We start from the raw sequence: 7739 nt of genomic DNA on the forward strand, positions 1-7739 counted from the left end.
CAGCGTGTTAGTGCCAAAGCTAATACCCTTCCTAAAGGAGTTTCTCCCTCAGCCTCCCCCTGCAGAAATGGGGCTGGGGTGGCTGGGCACAGTGGCTCACGCCTATAATCCCAACACTTTGGGAGGCCGAGGTGGGTGGATCACCTGAGGTCAGGAGTTCGAGACCAGCCTGGCCAATATGGCAAAACCCCATCTCTATCAAAAATACAAAAATTAGCCAGGCATGGTGGCGCATGCCTATGATCCTAGCTACGCAGGAGGCTCAGGCAGGAGAATCGCTTGAACCCAGGAGGCAGAGGTTGCAGTGAGCCAAGATTGTGCCATTGCACTCGAGCCTAGGCAACAGAGCAAGACTCCATCTCAAAAAAAAAAAAAAAAAAGAAAAGAAAAGAAAAGAAATGGGGCTGGGGCTCCCCAAGCTTGGGAAGAAGAAGGGAGGGGACACTGTCGGGGATTCTCTCTGCTACAGCAGTTAGGAGCTGCTCCGGAAACATTCACTGACAGGCCTAGCCAGTCGCCCTTAATGACCTCATTGTGGCATTTTGATAACAACTTGTGGTTGGCTCAGTGGGTACTAGGTCTCTAACAATGCATCAATGATGCCTCTCATAATTTCTCCAGAGGAGAAATTCAGGGTCAGCAATCTGGTGGGAAGAAAGACTCCAAGATGTGCCTTGGGGACAGGGTGTATATGGGAAGTCTGTAATTTCCACTCAACTTCACTGTGAACCTAAAACTTCTCTAAAAATAAAGTCTTTTAAAACACACACACACACAACCGGGCATGGTGGCTCATGCCTGAAATCCCAGCACTTTGGGAGGCCAAGGCGGGCAGATCACTTAAAGCCAGGGGTTCAAGGCTAGCCTGGCCAACATGGTGAAACCCCATCTCTACTAAAAATACAAAAATGAGCCAGGAGTGGTGGCATGCGCCTGTATTCCAGCTACTCGGGCGCCTGTAATTCCAGCTACTCAGGGGGCTGAGGTGGGAGAATCGCTTGAACCCAGGAGGCGGAGGTTGCAGTAAGCCAAGATTGTGCCACTGCACTCCAGCCTGGGGGACAGAGCGAGACTCCATCTCAAACACACACACACACACACACACACACACACACACACACACGCAGTTAGACCCCAATTGAAGTGCCTGTGTGACTTTGGACAAGTTCTTTCACCTCTTAGAACCTTTGTTTCCTCAGTTGTAAAAGGGAGGACAATAATAGCACATGCTTTACAGGGTCACTGTGCAGATTAGATGAGATCACTCTATAAACAGTACTTTGCACAGTGCCTCGCACAGAAGTTAGTATGAATATTACCTATTATTTATTTATATTACCGATTTGTATTTATTTATCTATAGTTTATAGGTAAAATTGCTCCATGATAATCTGCTTCCTGTGGACCCATTCTAATTAGGGACAGCCCATTTGCCTCTTCCCATGTGACCTCTCTTCAGATAGGAAAAGTAAGGCTCAGATTCATGTTGATTTATGGGGCTGGGGACCTGGAGTCCAAAGACTCCAGGAGTCTTGGCTCCACCAGTGACTTATTAGGAACCTAAGTTACTGAGTCCCTTTGAGTCTCAGTTTCTCCAGATGTAAAAGGCTATGCTCATATTCTCCACTTCGTAGGGTTCTTGCGGGATAAAGGACTTGGATCTTGACAGGTCTGGGAATTCAGACCTGCTTTAGTGAGACTGGAGCATCAGCTTCACTAATGGAACCTGCCACCAGGGGGCAGGCTTGCTACATCCAAGTTCCCATTTGTCCAAAATACTCATTTCCTTTTTTGAGCGTGATTGTCTAACTTTTTATTATGGAAAGAGTCAAACATACACAAAGGTAGAATGGTATAATAAGCCTCACGTGCCCAGCACTAAGTTTCAACAACTATCAACATTTTGCCAATCTTCCCCTCTCTGTTTGCTGTGCTGATAGTGGAGTATTTTAAAGTATATTCCAGGCCTCATTTCGTTTCATCCATAATGCACGTGTGCTGAATTGAAAAAGACTTATTTTCGGCCAGGCACTGTGGTTCACACCTGTAATCCCAGCACTTTGGGAGGCTGAGATGGGCGGATCACCTGTGGTCAGGAGTTTGAGACCAGCCTGACCAACATGGAGAAACCCCATCTCTACTGAAAATACAAAATTAGCCAAGCGTGATGGCGCATGCCTATAATCCCTGCTACTCAGGAGACTGAGGCAGGAGAATCGCTTGAATCTGGGAGGCAGAGGTTGCGGTGAACCGAGATTGCGCTATTGCACTCCAGCCTGGGCAACAAGAGCGAAACTCCATCTCAAAAAAAAAAAAGAAAGAAAGAAAAAGACTTATTTTCACAAACACTGTGTCACTTAACAAAAAAGAACAATAATTACTTAATTTGATCTAAGTTCATATTTAAATTTCTTTTTTCTTTTTTTCTTTCTTTTTTTTGAGGGTCTCACTCTGTCTCTAGACCAGGCTGGAGTGCAGTGGCATAATCTCCGCTCACTGCAACCTCTGCCTCCTGGGTTCAAGTGATTCTCCTGCCTCAGCCTCCCAAGTAGCTGGGACTACAGGCTTGTGCCACCATGCCTGGCTAATTTTTGCATTTTTTGGTAGAGACTGGGTCGTTCACTGTGTTGCCCAGGCTGGTCTCACCCAACTCCTGGCCTCAAGTGATCTGCCCACCTCAGCCTCCCAAAGTGTTGGGATTTCAGGTGTGAGTCGCCGTGCCTAACCTATATTTAAATTTCTGAAGACATCTTTTGACAAATTGACTCATTTGAATCGTGATCCAAATGAGTTTACTGCATTTGGTAAGTCACTTTCACATTCCACGGTCCAGTTTTACTTCTATATCATGAATCTACTGGAGAATCCAGGACACTTGTCCTGTCCTGTAGCATGCTCCACATTTGGAGTTTGACTGATTATGATCTTTGTCTATCCCTCATATTTCTCGAAAACTGGTAATTAGATTTTGGCTTGATAAGACTTAGGCTCTTTTTCTTTCTTTCTTTCTTTTTTTTGTTGTTGTTCTATTTTTTGAGACAGGGTCTCGCTCTGTCACCCAGGCTGGAGCGCAGTGGTGAGATCTCGGCTCACTGCAACCTCTACCTCCCAGGTTCAAGCAATCCTCCTTCCTCAGACTCCCTAGTAGCTGGGACTACAAGTGTGCACAACCACACCTGGCTAATTTTTGTATTTTTTTTTTTTTTTTAGTAGAGATGGAGTTTCACAATGTTGGCCAGGCTGGTCTCGAACTTCTGACCTCAGGTGATCTGACTGCCTCGGCCTCCCAAAGTGTTGGGATTACAGGTGTGAGCCACCATGCCCAGCCTTTTTTTTTTTTTTTTTTTTTAAGGCAAGAATATTTCATGGAGAGCACTGTTGACTTAATGAACAAAGCACCACCACATGCCAGGCACTAGTTGACTCTTCAAGGAAGGTGTATGTCAAGACATTTGTTAGTGGCCCCCACAGCCTCTGGATTTAAGCCCGTCAGTAAGCCCCATCCTTTAGGACACAGAGAGCTTGTCGAGGAAGAGTCCAAGGACCCTATCCCCTATCCTCTCCCCTAGCCAATCAAGTCCAACAAGACTCAATTCCAGGACTGTTGTTTCAGGAATAGACACTAACCTTAAAACATTTTAGTGATTTTAAGGTTGGTCAATGACTTTTAAATTATTTTTAATGTTTTTTTAAACTGCAAAATGGTATTTAGAGACTAAATCTGTGCACTAGGGGTGTTCCTTACCACTGAGTTGGTCATTGCTTCTAGGCCTTTTCAGCAGACAGAGCTAAAAAATACTTTTTTTTTTTTTTTTTTTGAGATGGAGTCTTGCTCTGTCACCCAGGCTGGAGTGCAGTGGTGCAATCTCAGCTCACTGCAACCTCCACCTCCTGGGTTCAAGTGATTCTCCTGCCTCAGACTCCCCAGTAGCTGGGACTACAGGTGCCCACCACCGTGCCCAGCTAATTTTTCTATTTTTGGTAGAGATAGGGTTTCGCCACATTGGCCAGGCTGGTCTGGAACTCATGACTTCAGGTGATCCACCAGCCTCGGCCTCCCAAAGTGCTGGGATTACAGGCGTGAGCCACCATGCCAGGCTGAAAATACATTTTTGAAGAGAAAAAATACATACTGCTATCTAATTCAGATCTAAGTATATCCTAAGCTTCTTTTCCACTTATAACACTTTCTCATACACTGAAAAATCTTGGTTCCTAATGCTATTGACATAATTACTTATTTTTTCTTATATCATAGTTTCAAAATAGCAACATCAATATTACTACTGGCAATAAGACTAATGAATACAATTGTATTTCTATGCAGTTTTATTTGTCCTTAGACTGTATCCCATTAGACAGGTACAAACAAGGATTACATGACTGTAATCCCAACACCTTGAGAGACAAACGAGGATCACTTGATGCCAGGAGTTTACGAGCAGCCTGGGCGACACAGCGAGACCCTGTCTCTACAAAAAAAAATTTTTTTTTTTTTTTTGAGACAGGGTCTCGCTCTGTTGCCCAGGCTGGAGTGCAGTGGCGTGATCTCAACTCACTGCAGGCTCTGCCTCCCAGGTTCACGCCATTCTTCTGCCTCAGCCTCCCGAGTAGCTAGGCCTACGGGTGCCCGTCACCACGCCCGGCTAATTTTTTATATTTTTAGTAGAGACAGGGTTTCACCGTGTTAGCCAGGATGGTCTTATCTCCTGACCTCGTGATCCGCCCGCCTCGGCCTCCCAAAGTGCTGGGATTACAGGCGTGAGCCACCGCGCCCAGCCAACAAAAACTTTTTTAAAATTAGCTATGCCTATAGTCCCAGCTCCTCAGGAGGCTGAGGTGGGAGGATCCCTTGAGCCCAGGAGTTGGAAGTTAGTGAACTATGATCACCACTGCACTCAAGCCTGGGCGACAGAATGATATCTCTTTATTTTTTATTTTTTTGAGATGGAGAGTCTCGCTCTCTCGCCCAGGCTGGAGTGCAATGGCTCGATCTCAGCTCACTGCAAGCTCTGCCTCCCAGGTTCACGCCATTCTCCTGCCTCAGCCTCTCCAGTAGCTGGAACTACAGGCGCCCACCACCATGCCCAGCTAATTTTTTTGTATTTTTAGTAGAGACGGGGTTTCACCGTGTTAGCCAGGATGGTCTTGATCTCCTGACCTCATGATCCACCTGCCTCGGTCTCCCAAAGCGCTGGGATTACAGGCGTGAGCCACTGCACCCGGCCTGAACTCATCTCTTTAAAAAAGAAAAAAAATCAAAATACTTAAGAAGCCATTTGAAATTATTTTCTCTGTGTTACACCACCAATCTGACATTACAGATGGTTCGTTTCCATTTGTTTTTAATTTTTATGGAGTGCTTTATTTTATTGAACTTTGTCTTATAAATATGTGAAATGTTTACAAGAGTCCAAAATTGTACTATATAAAAGGTATATTCATAGAAGTCTCATTCCCATCTCTATCCCCTCCAACCCACATAGGCAACTATTTTTTTAGAAGTTTGGGATTTATTCTTCCATTGTTTACCTTTTAAATATAAGTACTTAATGTATATTTATCTCTCCATTACTCACATGTAATAGCATACTATAAACACTGTATGCACTTTGCTTATTTCACTTAATAATAAACAGATCACTTGATATTAGTATATGTTTATTAGTATATATAAGAAATCTTCCACATCTTTTTTTTTTTGAGATAGAGTCTTGCTCTGTTTTTTTTTTTTTTTTGAGACAGAGTCTTGCTCTGTCGCCCAAGCTGGAGTGCAGTGGCTTGACCTCGGCTCACTGCAACCTCCGCCTCCCAGGTTCAAGAGATTCTCCTGCCTCAGCCTCCCAAGTACCTGGGACTACAGGCAAGTGCCACCACACCCGCCTAATTTTTGTATTTTTAGTAGAGACAGGGTTTCACCATGTTGGCCAGGCTGGTCTCAAACTCCTGACCTCAAGTGATCTGCCCACCTCGGCCTCCCAAAGTGCTAGGATTACAGGTGTGAGCCACCATGCCAGGCCTCTTCCACATAGCTTTTCATGGCTGCATAGTACTTTATCCTGTGTATGTACTATAATTTATTCAACCAGTTCTTTATCATTAGACATGTGAGCAGTTTCCAATCTTTTGCTATTCATTAATGCCATAATGAACAGCCCTGTACATACAGGTTTGTTGTTTTGTGTGTGTGTGTTTGCCAGTATATTACTAGGATAGATTCCTCGAAATCTAGTATTTGATCTAGGGTTACTGGATCAAATAATATTGCTATATATTGCCAAATTTCCTTGTTAACTGTTATATCACTTTGTCTTCCCACCAGCTATGTATGAGAATGCTAGCCTTAGGTGTATTTTGATACCATATCAGATTGAGGAGGCTGCAGAGATGAATCACAGACAAGGTTCCTGCCCCTAGGAATTCTCAGTCCTCCAGGAGGCCTAAAGGCTAAAAAAAATGACATAATAAGCAGGAGGCAGATTTACCCTGAAACTAATGAATCTTAAGCTTCAGAGTCCTTTACTTATAGGGACCCTTTCCAGTGTTCCAGATATGTGTTCACAGGGCCATTTTATAACATTTTTCCTCAGGAGGACACCCCAAATTATTTAAGTTTCAGGTCCCACAAGATCTAAACCCCCCTCACAGACTTAACAGTGAGCCTAAACTGGGGGCGAGAGTGGATTTCAAATCTCATCTGCAGCTGACTTAAGAGCAAGGGTTCCTATGATATTTAATGACTGAGACAAAATGAAAACGCTACTTTGATCGAGAGAGAGGTCCCTCCCCTGATTGGGATCAATAACCCACACAGGTAGTTAGCTGTCTACGCAGAGCCTTCTATATTTTCCCTCTACTTTTGAGGGCGGGAAATAAGTCTTGGCTGACACCAGTGTTTCCAGCAAACAGCTGAAGACTTGACACTTGGATGGCACTCAGGACAAAAATCTGAACAGATTACAGAACCGTTGTTGTTTTTTTTTTTTAAGGGGAGGGTGTGTTACACCAGGAATGGGTATTCAAGGTAGACACATCCCAAAACAGACACTTCAGTGAGAAGAGGCAGAGGTGTTTCCTCACCTGTAAAAACAGGATAATAAAACCTACTCTTGTGGGGTTTGGTTAGGATTAAGCAAGATCATTTATATAAAGACCTAACCCAGTGCCAGACTCTCGGGAGAAGGGGCATAAAGGACAGAAAATAAAATGAGTTGATCTTTGAGCACAGCGACAGGGATTTTTTGTACATCGTGCCTTACAGAGCGAGCGCTGGGAGGAGGAATCATCACCCTGCTGAGAAGTAATGGGTGCAGAATAAATCGAGTAAGAAGGAATGGACTTTTCTGGCGGATGCTTACTGATCTAACAACTGGATGACTGAGGAATGCGGTCCTAAGTGACCCCGGGCTGGCTGTGGGGCCAACAGCGTGCGGGATCTGACTAACAGCGTGTGGCAGCCGAGCGACTGCAGCAGCGGCGGGGACCCCATTGACTGTCCAGCCCCGAGAGCGGCAGGAGCGCGGTGGATCCTGGCTCGGACCAAGGCCTCTCCCCTGCGCCGACTGCAGACCAACCCTCCACCAGGAGCCTCGCGGGGGGGCGCCGTGGGCACCGCAGCCAGGTGCAGGCGCCTCCGCGCCCTCACTCCCCACGCCGAGGAGGTGGCCCTGGCTCCCTGCGGCCGCAGCCGGGGAACAATGAGGCGCCGGCCTCTTTAAGGGAGATACCACCGCGCCGGC

The 7739-nt window shown here is 45.5% G+C and overlaps 1 annotated feature.

Annotated features, from left to right (window-relative positions):
* Positions 7436-7715: a silencer, noted in NCBI's record as "silent region_471". NCBI's record gives its function as "represses an Ori minimal core promoter by ATAC-STARR-seq in GM12878 lymphoblastoid cells {active_cell/tissue: GM12878}" and the evidence as "EXISTENCE:reporter gene assay evidence [ECO:0000049][PMID:35858748]".

Source organism: Homo sapiens, chromosome 1, assembly GCF_000001405.40.
Source record: "Homo sapiens chromosome 1, GRCh38.p14 Primary Assembly".
Classification (NCBI taxonomy): Eukaryota; Metazoa; Chordata; class Mammalia; order Primates; family Hominidae; genus Homo; species Homo sapiens.